The sequence below is a fragment of the Homo sapiens genome, chromosome 21 (genome assembly GCF_000001405.40).
Source record: "Homo sapiens chromosome 21, GRCh38.p14 Primary Assembly".
NCBI classification, from domain to species: domain Eukaryota; kingdom Metazoa; phylum Chordata; class Mammalia; order Primates; family Hominidae; genus Homo; species Homo sapiens.
Window position 1 is genome coordinate 20,771,605 of NC_000021.9, and position 21,277 is coordinate 20,792,881.

At 37.6% G+C, this 21,277-nt stretch overlaps 1 long non-coding RNA gene across 4 annotated transcripts in view, besides 2 other annotated features; it reads right to left on the minus strand.

Annotated features, from left to right (window-relative positions):
* LINC00320 (long intergenic non-protein coding RNA 320) overlaps positions 1–21,277 on the minus strand; it is a 60,519-nt gene that overhangs the window by 29,015 nt on the left and 10,227 nt on the right. Inside the window, exons 2-7 of one of the 4 annotated variants that reach the window (NR_024090.2) lie at positions 14,432–14,484; positions 10,703–10,842; positions 9,966–10,057; positions 9,745–9,870; positions 7,039–7,158; positions 6,814–6,943 (exon numbers count right to left, since the gene is read on the minus strand). This is a non-coding gene — a long non-coding RNA (long intergenic non-protein coding RNA 320). Of the gene's footprint in view, positions 1–6,813; positions 6,944–7,038; positions 7,159–9,744; positions 9,871–9,965; positions 10,058–10,645; positions 10,843–14,431; positions 14,485–21,277 lie in introns of all 4 variants that reach the window. The other 3 variants (NR_109786.1, NR_109787.1, NR_109788.1) reach the window with 3 other exon arrangements.
* Positions 18,250–18,763: an enhancer, noted in NCBI's record as "OCT4-NANOG hESC enhancer chr21:22162172-22162685 (GRCh37/hg19 assembly coordinates)". NCBI's record gives its function as "activates a minimal SCP1, AML or CMV promoter by ChIP-STARR-seq in naive and primed H9 embryonic stem cells {active_cell/tissue: H9 hESC(naive and primed)}" and the evidence as "EXISTENCE:reporter gene assay evidence [ECO:0000049][PMID:30033119]".
* Positions 18,764–19,276: an enhancer, noted in NCBI's record as "OCT4-NANOG hESC enhancer chr21:22162686-22163198 (GRCh37/hg19 assembly coordinates)". NCBI's record gives its function as "activates a minimal SCP1, AML or CMV promoter by ChIP-STARR-seq in naive and primed H9 embryonic stem cells {active_cell/tissue: H9 hESC(naive and primed)}" and the evidence as "EXISTENCE:reporter gene assay evidence [ECO:0000049][PMID:30033119]".

Genomic DNA, 21,277 nt, shown 5'->3' on the forward strand with positions numbered 1-21,277 from the left:
AGTGCAGTGGCGCGATCTTGGCTCACTGCAACCTCCACATCCCAGGTTTAAACGATTCTCCTGCCTCAGCCTCCTGAGTAGCTGGGATTACAGTCAAGCACCACCACACTCAGCTAATTTTTATATTTCTAGTAGAGATAGGGTTTTGTCAAGTTGGTCAGGCTGGTCTTGAACTCCTGGCCTCAAGTGATCTGCCCACCTCGGCCTCCCAAAGTGCTGGGATTATAGGCGTGAGTCACTGTGCCCAGCCAAGTCTTGTTTTTGAAGAAAGAAGATGATATTTATCATCCCATTACTGGATATATACCCAGAGGAGTATAAATCATTCTACTATGAAGACACATGCACACATATGTTTATTGAAGCACTATTTACAATAGCAAAGACAGGGAACCGACCCAAATGCCCATCAATGATACACTGGATAAAGAAAATGTGGTACATATACATCATGGAATACTATGCAGCCATAAAAAAGGAATGATATTATGTCCTTTGCAGGGACATGGATGAAGCTGGAAACCATCATCCTCAGGAAATTAACACAGGGACCAAGCACCACATGTTCTCCCTCATAAGTGGGAGTTGAACAATGAGAATGCATGGACATGAGGAGGGGAACATCACACACCAGGGCCTGTTGGGGAGTGGGGATTGAGGTGAAGGAACTTAGAGGATGAGTCAATAGGTGCAGTAAACCACCATGGCACACATATACCTATGTAACAGCATAACAGGTGTATACCCCTGCACATTCTGCATGTGTCTCCCCTAACTTAAAATAAATGTTTGGGGCTGGGCTTGGTGGCTCATGCCTGTAATCTCACCACTTTGGGAAGCTGAGGCAGGTTGATCGCAAGGTCAGGAAATCGAGACCATCCTGGCTAATACGGTGAAACCCTGTCTCTACTAAAAATTAGCCCAGCGTGGTGGTGGGCGCCTTAGTCCCAGCTACTTTGGAGGCTGAGGCAGCAGAATGGCGGGAACCTGGGAGGCGGAGCTTGCAGTGAGCCGAGATCGCACCACTGCACTCCAGCCTGGGCATCAGAGCGAGACTGCGTCTCAAAAAAAAAAAAAAGAAAGAAAGAAAGGAGAGATGACCAGAAATCTATAAATAAGAGCAAAAAAGAAGGAGAGATGGGTAGTAAAATCTGATGAGAAATGTTTGAAAGCAGTGATGGGGAGGAGAGTAAGGAACTTGAGGGGTCAAATAGATGGAATAATAAATTTGCAGAAATGAGGAGCAGAAAAGGAATTGTTCACTTTCAGGTTTAGTTTTTCAAAAACTTCAGGTGAAAACCGTGATCTCAGGTGAAAGCCAAGTATCATTGGAACAAAAATGCGAGGGAAAGATGAGGGGAGATTTTTTGGCTAAAAACATGTCACTATTTAATAGCAAATCATGCGATTTAAAAATACAATGGAAGAATTTCAGAATTTGGGGTGAAAGTCAATGGGGTCAGGTTAAGCAATTTAAAGATCCACGTAGATATGTGTTTCCAGGAAATGAAGCATAACAGAATTTCGTGGTGTTTTATGATACCCGATAGGCAAAAACAAAGGACATAATCAGATTTTTCTTCATGCCTTCTAAGGCTGATTGTCATGGTGACATTGTGGGAAGAAGAAAGAGGCTTTTGCTGGAAATACGGAGAATGTATTGGTTCCATCTAATCTTTATCGTTTTCTCCATCACAAGTGTTGAAGAAGTCAAAAGGGTGTGCGGAGTTATAGGATTTGCGCTATGGTACCAACAAATTCAAACAATAAAATCTTGGGAAGCATTCAACCTTCCATGTAAGATAGCATTCCAGTTTACTAGCAAATCTTACCAGAGTTTATTTTCTATGTGGATGAAGAGCCTAATAAAAGTCCCAATTAGCTTGGCATTCACTTCTGTGAAATTAGTAATGCGTATGTACATAATTAGATGTTAGACTAGAGAAATTACTGGAATCATGTATATGATTCCATTGCTAAAGATTTGTTACAGAGATGAGGTTTTTGCCTTTATATTTTATCTAGCAGAAAGGTTGAGTAGGTAATTATTTTAAAAAATGGATCTATTCAATTAACGGATTAGAATGAAAAGCTGTTAAAGAAGATAGTGATGCAATTGGTTTCTAACCCACTAAATGGAAACTTGAGGAAATAAAAAATTTTTAATCATTTAATTTATCACATAACTTTCTTTATTTTCCTATAATTTAAAAGCCTCATTTTCCCTATATTTACTTTTTAAAAATTATCTACTGATTAAATCAATCTGACTCTTCCTCTAAATTTCAATTATTAGATGTTTATACAGTAAGCATATCCATTGTATATTTCACATGATCAATTAAAAAGTCTACTATAAAATAAAAGGTTTTGAATTAAGGAACTTTTAAAAGAGGAACATTGTACAGTAGCCTTGGAATAAAAGTGTTATAGTATCTTAAAATTAATTAATCGTTTGAAACAGTCCCTATAAATAATATAAAAATTGATATGTTTTATTAATATCCAGAAATGAATCTCAATAAATCATTTCTAAAACTTAATGGTAAAAGAACAAAAAACTGAATAACAATTATTCTGGCTTTATAAATAACGGACATTTTCAAGTCACTTTCTATTTGCCTCTGAAAATCGACCCACAGTGAGATTTTGGTTGGCAATGTGGAATCACCAGGCAGCCTCTCTTATACTTCCAAGACAAAAAATGAGGTTATTTAACAGGTAACCCCTCAGCAAATTTGATCTGCGTGACCACTCTATTTCACCTGATTTCTATTTTTAATAAGTGTGTGTTTGCCTGATTAGCTTGTTTATCTAATAAGAGAAGGTCTTAACCACCTTTAAGTAAAAAGCATTTAGAAATAGCTCAAGTGGGACATCTGAAATGTACAAGAAAATTAGGTTCTTATCAAAAGACTAAGTGTACTAGGCATCTTCTGTGTGCTTTATTATAGAAGTTTGTGTTCTATGTTTGTAAATCAGATTCTCTGCTAGCTGTGAAAAAAATTTAAAAAGAAATAAACATTTTGATATTTATACTCTTTAAAACAGATTTTAGGGAGAATTTGAAGATGATCATGAAGATTTTATTTACTTAATTAACTAAATATGCTCACTTGTGGTTAACAAAAATATAATTTATTTCATCTTGAACAAGAGATATAAACCCATTAAACTTAAAACTGCTGAGAAAAAATTCCATTGTTGATTTTTTAAGAGATTGAATGTCTTCAGCATTAGACTTGATTGATATGTGGGTAGGTTGATATTGTACTAATTTTCCATGGCTGACATGCCATCAACTCAATAAAATCACACTTACAAGAATTGCTGAGTCATTTGTTGGTAATTCAATCACAATTTCAAAAGTGATTCCCTGATTTAGATGGGGAAAATTGTTTAGAATATGTGTCAATGAATTATAAAGCTTCTCTCCTGTATATGCACTTTAGATTCAAGTGTAACTGTTTGAACTAAGAGAAAACTTTTGCCCCAAAACTGATAGCTTATCGGTAAGGTTTGGGGGATAAGCTCATGAATTGAAGAGCTATTTGGAAATTTTTAAACAACTCTGGCTCAGTTTGGAGCTTCTTGAACCTGTTTAACTTTTGATCACATAGAGGTCACTAATATATATTTCTTATTTTTAAAAAATCCTCCAATTCTCACATACCAGATTATTAAATATCTTAAAGTTTCTTAGATTCTTAAATACTGTCATTTTTCAATGAAATTACTAGTAAGTACCTTTACTCTCATTGAATTAATAAAAACCTATCAATGATTAATATAAACCCTAAAACCATGTCATTGCTAAAAAGGTTACATTTTGAACAGTAAAAGCTATATTTATCCCTGCATCTTACATAGTTGATTTTGAGTTCTACAACGTTATGTTGCAAACCAATCATGAGTTGTACCTACCCATGCGTTCTAAGCTTATCTCTTCTATATCCCAACTTATTCTTTATATACTATCAATTCAAATTTATTATAATGTCCAGAATCAATCTGATGCAGGATTTTTTGCTCCTTCTTTCAGCTAATATCTGGGTTCTTGTCTCATGACCAGGAAAAATTAGGCCCACAGACAATTGAAAGGTGAGGAGAACAGAATTTATTAAAAGAAAGTTCTCAGGAAAAAAGAGGGGGTCTTGCCAGCAGACTCCCACCTCACAGAGTGAATGCCAGGCCACCACATGTGAGCAGAAGATGCCAGGCTCCTCCCCACTGCATAAGGCACAAATTCCTGTGGTTCCACCCCACTCTCCCAGTGCACAGGTGGGCCCTTAGTCTGAGCTGTTCCACATTGATTTATTTCACTTACTGTGCATGTGTTAAGGGACAGAATTTTTCACCAAGGGCATATTTAGGCAAGACCCTATGCAGGTTCTCTTATCTGCCTCCTGCCTCTATCATTCCCCTCTCTAAAGAAGTACATCTAACTTCTGTTAGAATAAGGATAAGGATGAAGACTGATCTTAACTGCTTCGTGCTGAAAGGGGGCACTGTTTGGGGAAAACAGCTGTCAGAGCTCCCTCAGAGGCCTAAGCAAGGGTCCCTGGCAAAAGAAGCCATTGTCTGAGGCTCTGGTTGCATGACTGTTTGGAGTTTTATGGCCTGAAGGCAAGAAAAGACAAACCGGGTCATTAAAAAACATGTATCAAAATAAAACAAGGGGGTGCAGTGGCTCACGCGTGTAATCCTAACACTTTGCGAGTCCGAGGCGGGCAGATCACTTGAGGTCAGGAGCTCAAGACCACCCTGGCCAACATGATGAAACCCTGTCTCTACTACAAAAAATACAAAAAATTAGCCAGCCATGGCGGCATGCACCTGTAATCCCAGCTACTCGGGAGGCTGAGGCAGGAGAATCGCTGAAACCTGGAAGGAGGAGGTTGCAGTGAGCTGAGATTGCACCACCGCACTCCAGCCTGGGTGACAGAGTGAGACTCTATCTCTAAAAGAAAAAAAATTAAACAAGATCAAGGTAAAGACTGCTTGAAAATCTTGAGAACTTTTACCAGTTTGCACAGAGAGAGGGAGTCCAAGAGCCCAACTGATTAAAAAACACTTTTACCCTTTTTGCCAGCAGGTCAGGCTTCTGGGTTCCCTTACCCTGAGCCCAATCCTAAGTCAACCAGTTTAATGTTTGGGAAATTAACTTTTCCCAGTTTGGAGGATGCATCTGAGGGGAGTGTCCCATAGTACAGAGACACAATTACCTATCTGTGAAGAGAGAACTGAGGAGGAGAAACTAAAAAAGAAGGCTTTTTTTTTTTTTTTCAAAGGAGTCTCAGGGGTTCAGGATGCATTTGAAAGTGGTACAGACTGAAGATGGATGGCTACTCATGTAGAAAGAGGGGAATGAGGCAACTCAGGTTGCCTTCTCTTCCTAGTGAATACCTGGGGTATGTGAGAAAGTGAGGCACCCTTCTTTCTTTCTTCTGTCCTTACATCTCCGAGTTCTGGCAACTGTGACAAGAGTTTCACCCATGGGTGTCAAAGCAGCTTTCATCCATGTTAACAGGGGAGCTTAGGAGATGGGAATATCTGCTCTTACCCATGTACACCCTATCTCCTCTGCTGTCAGTAGCCTTCGAGTTCCCTAGATCTTATTTATGCCATGGATACTAGCATGAACTTTATCCATGAAACAGGAAGCTTGGCTCAATCGGCAGGAATTAGTCATACTCACCTATGTTGTACATTTTAACTTCTGTTATCATCTGCCTCTGGATCCCTCAGATGCAAGTTTTTTTCCTAGGGCTTTGATCTGAAGCTAGGAATTGAGTTTGAGACAAAAATATGTCTCCAGGGGTTGCATGGACTCCTTAACATAAGCCAAATGCTGAGATGAGGCTGTGGAATTGAGTCGTGCTCCAACAAGGGAGAGAAAAGGATGTCTTGTGACATGCCCAGGTAACTGGTGGCTGTAGTTATGCTTGCTAAGATTCGGGTGCATGGGGCTTTGCTTTGGTTAGTTCCCTTGGTCTTACTTTCCCAAAAAAGAAACTTCTGGGTGATGGGCACCTTATTTATTCCCATTACCTGACTGGATTTGCAGAATAATTGCTCAGAATTAAAATATTGATCCAGAGTTTTACATTACTTATCCCTTTTGTTCCTTGTGAGCTGCAGCCAGAGATCACTGGTTGGCTCACAGAAATTAGCAGGGTTAGTCCAAAATGTAGACAATAACTTTAAAACAGCTAATGAGTCTAGAATTTAATGACAAATGTATAATAAGTTTTGAAACATAATTTCTTTCTCCAGTCTTCATCTTTGTTAAAAACAAATCATGATAGGACTAAGCTGTTTGCAAAATAAACTTTAGTCCTATACTTGGCCTGTTTATTTGCATAGAGTGTAGCAAGAATAATTATTTTGACATAGGCTTTTTAAATTGGCTTTGATGGAACGCTGTTCCACAAGGAATCTCAGATAGGACTTCCTGAAGCTGAAACCACCCATGGGTTTTTACCCTCGAATACCTGTGAATTGGTAAACTCCACTCTTCTTGAGGTCCCAAGAACATGGGGTTCCTGGACCTGTTAGAAAGTGACATGCTTTACTCACCACACGTTAGGAACCCTGCATGGGGACTGTGTAGACAAGGTATGAGGCCAGTTTTCCCAAAGGGGTTTTATCAGCTCTGTAAGTTGAGCTTGGTTTCTTAAAGGGAAGCATATCCTTCCAGTCAAAGCCTTGGTAAAACAACCAGTTTCTCCAATTGCATCCTGTTGCAAAAGAAAGTGGATTCTTATTGTACTGATGCAAACAATTATACTGCCATAAGTTAGGAATACTTACAACTAGTTTCCAAATTCTGTAGATGCCAGGCAGACAGAGAGAGACAAACATGCTCCAAATTTTGTTCATAGGAGTATACCTTGCTCAATTATTAAATGCTGTAAATAGCTCAAAATAAATTTCCATGACTCTGAAAAAGAAAACAAGGATCAGCAATGTTCCAAGCAAGTGTCAGAAAGATTACTGCAGTTTTATATTAGTTTAGTCTGTTTAGTTAACTCTTACTTTGCTTGATATTCATGAACATTCCAGCTCTTCCTTTATTCCAATGTCACAATCTCCAAAGTTATCAGAAACTTGCATTTGAGAGCACGTGTTAAAATTCTATAGCTGATTATAAACCATCTTTTAAAGAGGATGAAAATAAGACAACAATTTTCTGTGAATAACAAAATGTCTAAAATAGTTACAGTCAGAAACATGATTGACAAAGAAATTTGATTATCTCCGTGGTTTGCAATAACTTAACGTAACAACCTTAATTGTGATTGACAGCATACACTCACACCTTAGAATTTTAGATATCCCATACAATTTTGGAACACATATTAATATTATTCCCTAAAATATAACCTGAAGAAGATTAAACATCATTTTGGCAATCCCATGTACCTAAACGTGTCAAATAATCCTTTTTACCTATCCTCTAAATGCTCCATGGGCCCTCTGTAGCAACAAAAGCTAGGGGTCAGGAAAGATAATTTTTGAAACTGAAGTTCAATTTTAGGAAGACTCTTAAATGTTAGAGGCTTAAAACACTTGATGTTATGAAATAGAATTCCAGATTACCGTAAGTTATTTATTTTTCCAAAATGTTGACTTGAAAATTTTAAAAAAGCAAAAACCTTTTATAACCCATTACAAACTTTGCTAAAGAGCAGATTAGTGCCTTAAGAGAGCCTTTTTGTGCTTTTATTTCAATGCTCAGTTTATGGAAATGGCATGTAATACCCTTTTGAATTTAGTCAATATGTTTGCACACAGAATTTCTTTTTCAATATTAACTTTCACAATTCTTCTAAAAATTGTTTGAACTTTTAACTTTACCTTATCTAATTCAAAACAAACCTTAATCCTAGGCAAAAATTCATATTTTGATGACATCTGCATTTTATCAATAATCTTTAAGGCTGTTTTTAGTTCTCAAAGATTAAAGTCACGTGAACTAAAAGGTACCAGAGCTTTTACCTTTCCTTTAAATAATATTAGATCCAAGAACTTATCCTTCTTTAAGTCAATTAATTAGAGCTTTTTTCAAATACACACCATGCACACAACACTTATATAACTACCGAGACAGGCAGAAGAAGATCCAGTAGCTATAAGATTTTTTATTTGCCAGTTGGCTAATTGTACTATTGGCCTCTGGGTTGAGCCCTATAAGAGCAAGGCTAAAGAAGCATGTGGTTTCTATTGCCTAATAAATAGGTATAGCTGGAAGACAAAAACAGATTTTGAGAAGGATCCATCTGCCTCTAATTCCTGGGGGCTCCATGAGGAAAACAGAGGTCTCTCCAAAAATGGAATCTGTGGTACCTTTTCTGCTTTTCCCAAAGAGTCCCAGGCCATCAGAAATTACCATAGGGCCTCTGATGTGTGCATTAACAGTGGCAAGGCAAAATGGTTACCAGGCCACCACACAGGAGCAGAAGAGGCCAGGCTCCTCCCCTCTGCATAAGGCGCAAATTCCTGGTGGCTCCAACCCATTCTCCCAGTGTGCAGGTGGGCCCTTAGTCTGAGCCATTCACATTGATTTATTTCCCTTACTGCACATGTGTTCAGGGATGGAATTTTCCAGTGACTGAGAAAAAACCTTTTACAAGCAAAGCAAGATCCAAGAAGAGAAAAACATAAAGGCCTTTTAAGTATACCTAATATTTGGATATCCACTTTTAATTAAGCTGAGCACTCTTTAAGAAAATCCTTTTAAATCCGTTATTACCTGACTTTAGCCATGCCAAGCGGCCAATATTTCTGGCTTTTGAACTTTACCAAAAGTAACATCCCAACTGCTCATAGAAAGGAAAATTCAAGGTGGCTTGTGGCGGGGAAGAGAATCAACAAAGGGCAAAGTTCACACAGATATCAAACCAGAAAGGACTCATTCTCTAAGCCAGGATTGAACCTGGGCTGCCATTGTAAAATGGAAGAGGCAAAAACAAAGCACTGCCCTTTGGTTACAGTCATGCTTCCAAGGACGCAAAACAAGATGGAGGCCTGCAGTAAAGTTTGCCCTTAAGCCAACAGCTCCTTGAGCATTTTGCGGGACTGGCTTGAACAATGGGCCAATGGAGTCCTATGCCTGCATTCCATCCTAAGGTAACCCTCTTTCTGACAGAACCATACAGAAAGACATGCAAAGCACATCAAATTGACTACAGCTTAAGACCAACCTCAAATCCTTTTTCACAATTAAAACTTTGCAGAGAATATAAACAGCGATAGGCTCCTGACCTAGTAAAGCTTGTCACATAAAAGTTAACTCCTGACCTGGTGGAGAAAAGAAAAAACAAAAACAAGACAACTTAAATGGAGTGCTGGAAAGATGCCTGGGGGAAGAACCTCTATTCTTATGCAAATGAGTTTCTCCACCAGGGAGAGGAAACTTTCATTGCTGTTTCTTCTCTGGGGCTTGGACTGAGCTGGACCCCTGCGCCAGGGGAGGGGAAGACTCCGTGGGTAAGTGGTGGGGAATGCTGGCCAGCTTGCTGTCTGGGGCCCTTGGAAGGGGAGGGGGACGAGAAGCCACTGCTCGCCTGTCTGTCCCGAAAAAAGGAAGAAAAATGCCACAGAAAAGACAGGGTTGGGGCTGAGGCCCGGTGGCTGAGGCCTGTAATCCCAGCACTTAGGGAGGCCGAGGTGGGCAAAAGAAAATGGATTCTTATTGTACTGATGCAAATGACTATACTGCCGTAAGTTAGGAATACTTACAACTAGTTTCCAAATTCTGAAGACGCCAGGCAGAGAGAGACAAACATGCTCCAAATTTTGTTCATAGGAGTATACCTTGCTCAATTATTAAATGATGTAAATAGCTCAAAATAAATTTCATTGACTCTGAAAAAGAAAATAAGGATCAGCAATGTTCCAAGCAAGTGTCAAAAAGATTACTTCAGTTTTATATTAGCTTAGTCTGTTTAGTTAACTCTTACTTTGCTTGATATTTGTGAACATTTCAGCGCTTCATGAGTCCTGTACGTTTTTCCTTTATTCCAATGTCACAATCTCCAAAGCTGTCAGAAGCCTGCGTTTGAGAGCACGTGTCAAAATTATATAGCTGATTATAAATCATCTTTTAAAGAGGATAAAAATAAGACAACAATTTTCTGTGGATAACAAAATGTCTAAAATAGTTACAGTCAGAAACATGATTGACAAATTTGAGTATCTCCGTGGTTTACAATAACTTAACGTTAACAACCTGCTACGAGAGATCGAGACCATCCTGGCTAAAATGGTGAAACCCCGCCTCTACTAAAAATGCAAAAAATTAGCTGGGCTTTGTGGCAGGGCGCCTGTAGTCCCAGCTACTCGGGAGGCTGAGGCAGCAGAATCGCTTGCACCCGGGAGATGGAGGTTGCAGTGTTAAATATGAATTCTAAATTTCTCTTCAAAGAATTAATATGTCAGTATGTGCAATTTTTTGCCTTCTACTTTTAAACTTTACTTCCTCGTAAAGCAACCTTTTTCGATTACCTACTCCACCGTGACTCATTCCGATCACCTGATCACCTGCTCCACCATAACTCATTCCGGTTACCTGCTACCTGCTCCACCCTGTCTCATTATTCTCCACCCTGTGTAACCATTTTTTTCCCGCCAAAGCACTCACCCCCGTCGCTCTCTTTGAATTAGCCAATCGGAATTAGTTTAGGCTGTGTGGTCTAACCTTAGCCAATAGGGGAAGGACACAGCAGCAGGGGTCACATGCATCAGGGATAAGAACTCCTTCCCCTCCCTTGTTCAGGTGTGCGCGCCCCATTGCTCCATCTGTGAGGGCTCACCCTTCCATAGAAGTACCTTGCCTTGCTGAAAATCAAAAAGAACATTTTATATTAGGAGGATATCTCTTTTGCAGCACCGAAACTTTATATATAACAGCAGTGAGCCGAGATTGCGCCACTGCACTCCAGCCTGGCACAGAGAGAGACCCCATCTCAAAAAAAAAAAAAAAAAAAAAAAGACAGGGGTGGACAGAGGCCAGCCTTCTCAGCGCCGATTTCCTCATGTAATACTTTCTCTTGTATCCTCAGGTGGGTCACTTTAGCCTAAATCTCCTAAGTGGTACATATTATTTTGTTATAATTCTAATTTTATGTTTAATAAAATTTTATTATTTACATTTTTTGCTATGTAGCTTATTTGTAGATAATTAAATTATTAAACTAAGACTCCATTTTTATCCATATATGACCAAAATATTTCCTGCACAAAGCTATATGCATAATAACAATTTATCACTTGAATGCATAAACTAAAGTTTACCAACAAAAAATCAGGTACGACAAATCCACATGGTTATATCATTGAAAAAAAGCTTTTCTGTAGTTCTAAACAAACATTCCATTGTAACAGGAATGCAAATAGTTGACATTGTGGGCAAAAACGTTTTTGTATAAAATATTTTATGTTATCTTTCCATGAATTTTATTAATGTATTTTCCTCACTATTTATATTTTCCAAGACTTTACTAAACATAGTTTCTATGTTTTAAAACAAAAACAGTCTATTTTCAGTTGCAATTTTTAAAACAAAAAAATATATAGGCTTCCAAAAAAAAATCAGTTAGCTTTTATTTCACCTCTATCCTTGTGGAACTGATAAGAACATAGTAATTCTAATATTTTATGAACCAGAATATTTGAGAAGCAACTGGTCCTCCATGTGTAAGCAGAACTCCTTCAGGGATATTGAGCTCATCCACCAACATGACTGGAATACAACTGATAAATCCTCATGGAAAATAAATGTGTTGTAGTCTCTGAAATATACTAAAAGTTGTAGAAGATACAGAGTTAGCATCAAAGTAGTCACAATCTATTTGGGAAGCCAACATGTACTAACCTGGGACAAAAGTTTTAAGTAAAATAGAATGCAAAATTTGAAACATAAAGAGATATAACATCGAAGGAAATAGTGATTGAATAGATTATTGTACCATATATACTCTCTCATAGTAGACTTATACATTCCCACCCACTATCGTACAACTTTTTCAGACATTCTGTGGGAAGAAATTATGCACTTATCTCAGTGGTTTTTAGCTTTTTATCATGCAGTGTGCTTTGATCAATGGAATGTGAGTGAATGTGATATTTATGTCAGAACAGACTTTTAAATATGACTGCATGGTCTGACTCAGCCCTTCTCTTAGTTCTGTATTTTTCCAGGACAGAATACCATGTTCCAGATAGGGGCGGCTTCATTCATTCCAAGAATGGGAAGACACGGGGAACAGAGCTGAGCGGCACAGCTGCCAACTTGTCATCCTTATTGTACCATGAGTGAGACATAAGTGTTGTTGTAAAATGCTGATATTTTCAGACTGTTGTAATCGCAGGACTCATACAGAAGTTAATACAACAGTAAGAGTGCTACCATAGCACATATAAAATCAATAGGTGTGACTGCCTTTGGGCTGACTGACAGGCTGTGTGAAAACCCTGAACGAAGTTTAGACAAATGACAATCCAGGTATTCAAGCCAAAATATTTGATAAGACTGTTGCCTATCATAAAAATACGTAATGGATGTCATGAATTTGTGTTCCTAGATTTGTTACTGGCTGTGTTTGCTATGATACCACAGGAAGGAGACAGGTTTGTAAAAAAGTTAAGCTGTGGGCAGTCAGAGATGAAAGAGACAGGAAGACAATCCACACAATTCAGGACTTGTACATTTGAAAGATGCACTCAACTCCAATCAGTAAGAAGTAAACTTGAGAAAAGACATGAGCCACAAAAGCCAATGAAGACAAACTCTGGGACAAACATCAGATCAAGGCAGCAGTGGTGAGAGGTCATCAAGCTCCTTGCTAAGATTTCCCATTTACTTATGATCAAGGGAAAGAGACCAGATATGTGGTCCCAAAGAAGCCTGTTAAGATCACCATACCTATCACAAAGTTTAGACAAGAGATGTCATATGTCTCAAAAAGAACTGTGGGTGTCACTATTGGCATAAGGAGCTGACTAAAATCAAATAGCTAAAAGCCAACAAGGTTTTGCAAGGTATATATTTTCAAAAATGCTATAAGCCTAGTTTAAAAGGGACTATAATTAGAAGGCAAAACAATCCTTAGGCCCTCAATTTCCTAATGGCAGAAAACAGGCAAAGTTGCTCACCTACCATGATTGACATATGCTCCATATGCCTTTCTGATATGGCCAAGGAAGGTGAGGAAAAAAGAAGACCTCTCAGAGAGAAGAAATAAAGTTTTGAGAAACAAGGATGGGTAATCAACAGGCAGGGACTGGGACTGGAGTCCAATCAGGAAACATTTCCTACATTCAGAGATGGCAGACTTTTAATTGTCACAGGGGGATTAATTGCAAAGAAGCAGTGACTTTGAGTATCACTTCTTCTTCCTCTATTTGACTGGGAATGTTTATTTTAGTATCCCTGTTTCACAATCAAATATTGGGAATAGATAGAGAATACACTTATATTATTATTTCATGTTTCCAGATCAAAAAGAGCTGCATCTGCGCCCGATTGAGATAATGAACTACAGGACCTCACATATAATGTCTTGATTGAAAGAGCCATTTGCTTTATTCCTAGGGAAGTACTGAGTGTATTTTTCATGCAGGGAGAAATCAATTATGTGCCATCAAGAGCACAGATAGGGGTAATTGGCATTATTATTTGAATATTGATTCTCTCTTCTTTAAGAGTATTACATAATAGTATCTCCCAGAAAGTGAAGTATACTTTACTACTGCAATTTGATTAAATTACTCGTTTGGGAGTGAAATAAGAGTAGACCTGACATTTAACAGGACAGTTCAGCAGGATCTTTGGGTGCAACTATGTAATATATTTCAAGCATTTGCCTTAAGAGCAATAGGTCCCAGATAGTAGTCAGTCCTAGATTGTGTTCTGGAACTAGAAGATATATGGAGACAATCAGTCCAGTGAAATCCAGCCTAATCCAGTAGACCGCAGTTAACCCAGAGTTAACCTCTAACTTACCTTCAGTCAATACATATATAAACACATAGAGTTTTTTTACTATAACAAAAATGAATGCTTCCTTTTACAGTAAAGAAAAAAATAATCAGGAACAATTTGGTAGAACAGGTGAAACCTAAGCCATATTGTGAAGAATCGTCATCTAAATAAGAAGGAAATGAAGCAAAATATATTTGAAGCAAAAATAAGAGCAATTGCAAAGGCAAGGGACTAGGTATAAAGTTGGCCTGTTAGAGACAAAATACAGAAATAATTCTGATTAGAGAGCCAACCGCATAAGGGAGAACAAAAAGAAATAGATTAAAACACTAAGTAAGTTGGTAAGATTCACAATCTTGGGGCTTTATGAAACGCACAGTAATATAGCATAGCCAGCCTATATTATATTCATATGTTTCTAGCTTCTGTAGTCTTATGACTTACTGTGGTGGGATGTGTTTTCCTCTTAGAGTGCTCTTAATTGTCGCAGATAGGATCTAGAAAAGGAAGCATATTTCCACTGTTTTCATGTTCATATTGCAATTTGTTAGTACCTGTTCATATCTGATTTGTCAATGTGAAATCTTTTAAGCTTTCATTGACTCTGAGTTCGTGTGCTTGGAAATTGGTGTCAATATTGATCTGAACATAGAAAAAACAGTAATAAAGTGGCAGAAAGCAATATTACCGTTATCTCCAGTGTTTAACTAGATTTTTACACCTCAATTTAAGTATATATTAGTTTGTGTAACTGTAGTAGTAGTATCTTATCCAGTAAGAGAATAGCACTGTCAGCTACTGAGAAAGGCTATATTTGAACTATGTGACCTAAGACACATAGTCCAGAGGGAAGAGAAATCAGTGACATTTCTTTCCATTTTAATGTCACCAGAGCCAAAGTTTGGGGAACAAGAGTTTATTTCAAAATGACAGGTGAACATTGTAGCAATTTTTCCTTCTCCTTTTCTGAGAAATAACTTTCAGTACAGTTACATTAGTTAATAATAATGTAATAATACTTATAGATAGTAAGTAGCCTACAATAGAGAATTGTATGTTCGTTTTTATTTAACCTGTAAACTCTCTATGCCTTTGACCATTGAACTCATCTTCTAAAACATGCAAATTTATCTATTGCTACAAAAAGGAGTTTTAATATGGACAGACATTAAAGTATTTGACAATGTGGCTCATTTCAATAATTCAGTGATTCATTGATTCAATTTACTTATTTTTTTTTATCTCCAACTGAGTGGCATCAGTTCTCTAGATTAAGATGTTACTTTACAGAAAAATGAGCTGTTTATGTTTTCCTTTTCTGTCCAACTGTAAATCTGAGATTGGCTTAGCAAACTACATTTGAAAACTAACAATGCTACTTTAAGCCTCATATAGATATTTACATATATATGAACTAAAAAGTAATTTTTAGAGTACTTATCTAGGCAGTGAGTGTTAAAAATACACTGCATTGGTTTAATGTGCTTAGTAATAGAATTTAGGATTTTCATTGTGTAATACTACAATAGACAAAATGCATTTAGATTTTCAGGAGCCCCCTTCAAATGCTTGTTCCTGACTCAAAAAGAGATATTTCCAGAGAGCTAGCCATGCAACTCAGAAAATTCCTTCCTACATCTTCCTGATACCTGCCTACTCCTCTTACCATTTATCCTGATCCTGTTCCGTGGAGGAAATATGTGAAATTCCAGTATTATAATTTCTATTTAGTGTTTGGATGCTTATATATCTTTAAATTAATACCTTATTAAAACACATATCAGATATTTTAGTACCAACAAAGACTACCCTTGACCAAACTCTGCCAAGCTCCTGTAAGCCCTCTAGGCTTTAACCTTAGGATCGATGATTATTGAGCCTGCATAGCTCAACTGTAGCAAGAATCTTGGCTGGGTGTGGTGGCTCACTCCTGTAATCCCAACACTTTAGGAGGCCAAGGCAGGAAGATTGCTTAAGCCCAGAAGTTAAATAAGAGCCTAGGCAACAAAATGAGACCCTGTCTTAAAAACAATATAAAAAATTAGCAGGGCATGGTGACACACAACCTATAGTCTCAGTTACTTGCAAGGTTGAGGTGGGAGAATCCCTTGAGCCCAAGATTTCAAGGCTGCAGTGAACTATGATTGTGCCACTGTATTCCAGTCTGGGTGACAGAGCGAGACCCTATCTCAAAAAAAAAAAAGCTTAGGAAACTTCATCACCCTTGATACCTGATCACTTTCAGTATATGATCAAAGTTCTCATCCCACACTACTTCCTGAGCGTTTTCTGATCATCCTGCCCTGCCTTCAGCAAAGAATCCACCTAATTGGTAGAGCCAGAGTCTCCCCTTAGGCATAATGTTTCTGCTTATAAATATTTGATCCACCAACCCTGACCCACTTGGCTATGAATCCCCACTCTTCCTATTATATTCAGATTTGGGCCCAGTTCTAAACCGAGGTCCCTTTTCCCTATCGCAATAGCTCTGAGTAAATCTGACTTCACCACTTTGACTACTGTCCAGCTCTGATTTTCTTTAACAGGACTCATCAAGTGCTATTTAGAACTTTCAGACATTTTCCTTGCTTGTAAGATATATGCCCTCCTCCATATAATCTTACTAAAATAAATTATTTAATGATATTTGTTAGAGCAAAGTAAGGATGACTTTATTCAGGACCATCATGATAAGTATACGGACCACTGCAACAGAATCTTGCAGTGGAGGAAGAAGATTGGGTTCAACTTAGAATGTAGCATGGGCAAGTGGGAATTTATAGCAAGGAGCAGGGTGGGGGTCAGTTTTACTGAGAAACTTAACAGAATTTTTGCTGAAGACAGGCCGGGGTGATTAGACATTACTTAGGGGAGAGTGGAAGATGAGAAACTTGATCAGATATCAAGGATTAGTGTTCTTGCTAAACTGACTTAGCTGGGTTCTTGCTAAAACTGGATTTTACAGATGGGCCTAACATAAGAGTGAGAAGGCTGGCTGAAGTTTGGCCAAGCAAAGATTTTATATCAACCTGAAATGTCCTGTACAGCCTTGTCTTTGTATCTTTCGCTAGATGTATTCCATGCCACACATCGAGTGGTCCTTTGGGTCTTCTTTTCGTTCCTGGAAATTTTCACATATCACAGAGTCTCCAACTGCTGGAACATTACAGGTTCACCACACTTTGTCTCACTAATATTGCCTCAATCTTTATTTCTCAAAACCCATGTCACTTTTTCTATGAAACTTTTACTCAAGTTTCAGACTAATTTAGGTAACCTTATTACATACACTCTCAGCAAAAAATATCTTGGCTCAGAAAATGATAACCCTAAATATGGTGCTTTGACATGCTAAGTACTTTGGAATAAAGAAAATTGAAAGACCTCAGAAATAAGCCTCAGGATCAACAGCTCTCTCTAAGCTTCTCCTCTCTCCCCATCTCTCTGATTTTTTTTTTTCCATAGAAGTAGGAGGGGTTCTCTCTGAACACTACCTTATCTGACTGAGGAAACTTCTTTCCAAAAGAAATGCAATTTTCTTAAGACCTCTTCCTATGTATCTCATCAAATAACCAGAAAAGGTTAACCAGTGGTGAAGAGAAGAAACTGGAAATTATCATCATGACCAGATAGGCTTTTCCTCTATTTTTCTGAGGGTAATTCCTAGAGATTACCTGGAAGAATGTATCTGCATAATAAGATAACCTTGGTTCACAATGTAGTTCTGCCCCTCACATTCCTGTAACTTGTCTGAAGCTGCTATTTGTCCTTTGGCCCCATTCAGCATCCAAAGAGAAATTGTTTACAAACCATTGTCTAGTCTTTTGGTTCATTCATTTACAATCTCCCCACTTTCCTCACCTCAATGAAAAGGGTATTTAAGTGTCAATTATCTGGTCCTTCCCTGAGTTTGCAACTTTTTTATATGGCCATCATGTTTATACACGTTAATAAATTTGTTATGCTTTTCTGTTGTTAACCTGACTTTTGTTAGAGAAGCATTGGCTGTGACCCTTATAATGAAGAGACAAGGGATCATTCTCTTTCTGAGCATAGACAGTACATCTTCCTAATGTTTATATTTTAATCGTAATTAATTTGTTTATTTATGTTTAACAATATAATAAAGCATAGTATGCTTGTCAATTTCTTCCTATTTTTTAATATCTGGGAAGAATTGCAGGCATCATTAATTCATCTGGAAGTAGTTACCTAAGTTGAAGAAAAGGTTTCTGGCTGAAATGGAAAGGTTGCTAAATTTTAGAATTACAAAATCAAACATGACTCAGGAGAACGTCTAGCACATAGGCAAAAAACATGTGACTAACTCTGCCAAGTATTTTTGGAATTAAGTAAATGCCTTATTTCATTTAAGAGTGATATTTTCATTGAATGCAAACTCTTTACTAGCCCACTCTAATTGCCTATCTTGGAATATATGATAATTGCAATGCATAGGTCAAATAAACTTCCTAACCTGTTCTTGAGCAATTTCAGTAAGCTTCCTGCAAGTTAAGTGAAAGTATCAAATAAAAAATTGTACTACCCTTTTTTTTCTAATTGGAACATAGTTTTTATTACCACTTTGAGCATTGCTATTTCATCTGTGATCTTGAAGTAACTACTGCTTGATGACTCTGATAAAGGATAAAGGTCATGGCTAACTTTGTATTAGCATCTTGCTTTTGTCTAGTAACAGCGTGACCCCTTGCTCTCTGGCATGTTTAAAGAAAAGAAGAGATCTGTGGTATTTATGATGATTGAGAAACTGTAACAATGCCTGGGTAGGGGGTTAATTAGGAATGAAAATGGCTTGACATCTCTCCAAAACATCTCTTCTGGGAGGTCATTTTCAGAGGAATGCAGACTTATGCATCTCTGAAGTGCTTTATAAAAAGCATATTCTTTTAGAAAATGAAGAACCAGTCAAGAACTAGAAAGGATGCATAATGAGTGAAAAGTAATTTGAAAAGTACATTAAGAAATCTAGTAATTCCTGTCTGTTAAATCAGGCAATTTGCATGTATTTTACTGCAGATATGAAAAAATAATACTAATTTATGGAAGATATGTTGTAATTGATTGTTTCAGTCATTTTTCTCAGTTTGCACTAAATGAGAGACACTATTTTGTTTGTATTTATGATTAAATTGTGTTCAGAGCAATGAAAGATAATTACAAATTGTCTACCACAGAGTCAGTTAATTTTATCCTATTCACATCACAAAATATAGACACAGCATTGTTGTGACTACTAAAGAAAGTTTGTTTATTCACTGATTGTCAAGTGAGTATAGGGTATGTTAACCACAAGAGAAAATTAAAATAAAATATAAATTTACAAAAAAATACTTTCTACCTTATAGGATCTTACAGTCTACTAGAGGGTATATGATAGTTTCAAAAATTAATATAAGATAGTAGTTGTTTATTTCCAGCAGTTGATGCTAAAAATACCATCAAAATAACCAGCGTATAAATCAAATTCAAATTGACTCCTTCTGCAATAGGGGAAACCACTACCTTGACCATCTTAGTAAAGTTGCAGATGGGACACATCAATGGTAGTATATTCAAAAGATATGGAAGATCTCATTTAAGATGAGTCTTTTCTAAGGACAGACACAATTTAAAAGTAAGAGGCATAATCTTCCATGTTGAAAATAAGGAAAGAAATTTCCCTTCCCTCCTTTTACTTTGAGTATTTTGTTTATAAAACATGTAATTTTAAGTAATTACTTCCCTCTTTGAAATGTATATATATATCATTTTGAAGACCAGATTGGCATTTTGTCAGCTTTGTGATCTAGGTTTGTATTTCTAAAGGACCAAGAACCGTCTCTTTGAAAGGTAGCACCACCTTCTCCCAGCTTCTGTGGAAAGTTAGGAGAATATCTTTAGTGGGCACCTTGTTCCAAGTTGCAAAACTACCTCTTGTCATGAAGATATGAAAAGTTTGTTTCTTCTTATCTAAAGGTCACCCCAATTATCAAGTAAAGTCAAGAAGAACTCTGTGTGACAAATCATGCTGTCAAGTTCTCTGATTTCAGAACTAGTTATTGTTTATCTTGAAACATGTAGAAACGTTCTCTGACTTACAACAGTTCAACTGACAATTTTTTGACTTTACTATGTGTATATTAATGGTGAATACTCATACAAACATTCTGTTTTTCACTTTCACTGCAGTATTTAATAAATTGCATGAGATATGCAACACTTTATTATAAAGTTGGCTTTGTCATAAAATGTTTTGTCTGTAGCCTAATGTATGTTTTATGAGCATGTTTAAGGTAGGTTAGGCTAGGCTATGATTCAGTAGGTAGCTAGTCAGACATAAGTGTGGCAGGAGAGGTCCCCCCAAACACCAAACAGGAATGTCAAATGACCATCAGGTGATGGTCAGGTGGTTGTTACATGATCTCACTAACATAATAATTGGTCACAGCTGGAACCAGGGAAAGGCAGTCTCCCAAAAGATAGAAACACCTAAAACTAGTAATCAGCAGCTTTCTGATGAGATATCAGGAGCTGGGTGAGTGGGCTCAAACATGTGCACTAAGAAGCAACATGGCGGCATTTAACTGGTATATGGCCTTCTTCTACTTGACTAGTAAGGGAAGAATGCCGCAAGTGAGCATGCGTCCAACTCCAGTTAATATACTGCACATGCGGCTCCTCCCAAGTGCTGGAAGGCCACTACGTATACAGATTACCAATGTACAAGACCCCAAGTCAAAGGTCAAACTGCACTCGATCTCTCAATTGTCCACTTGGCCCTCTTCCAAGTGTACTTTACTTCCTTTCATTCCTGCTCTAAAGCTTTTTAATAAACTTTCACTCCTGCTCTAAAACTTGCCTACATCTTTCACTCTGCCCGTGCCCCTCAGTGGAATTCTTCCTTCTGAGGATACAAGAATTGAGATTGCTGCAGACCCATACAGATTCACCACTGCTAACAGGTTAGCTGTATTAAGTGCATTTTCGACTTATAATGTTTCCAACATATGATGAATTATTGGAACGTAACCCCATTAGAAGTCAAGGAGTATGTGTATATAATGATATGTGTGTTCTTGACTATATAAAAGGGTGAGATTTCTTTTTGTCTTTGAAATCTTTTAATGGATTGTCTGTAATGCACATCACATTCTTGTTCAATGCTTATTCAATAATAAAAGTTGTGTCTTTCCCTACTACCTTTGAAGAAAGGAATTCTGGCTGGGCACGGTGGCTCATGCCTGTAATCCCAGCACTTTGGGAGGCCAAGGCGGGCCGATCATAAGGTCA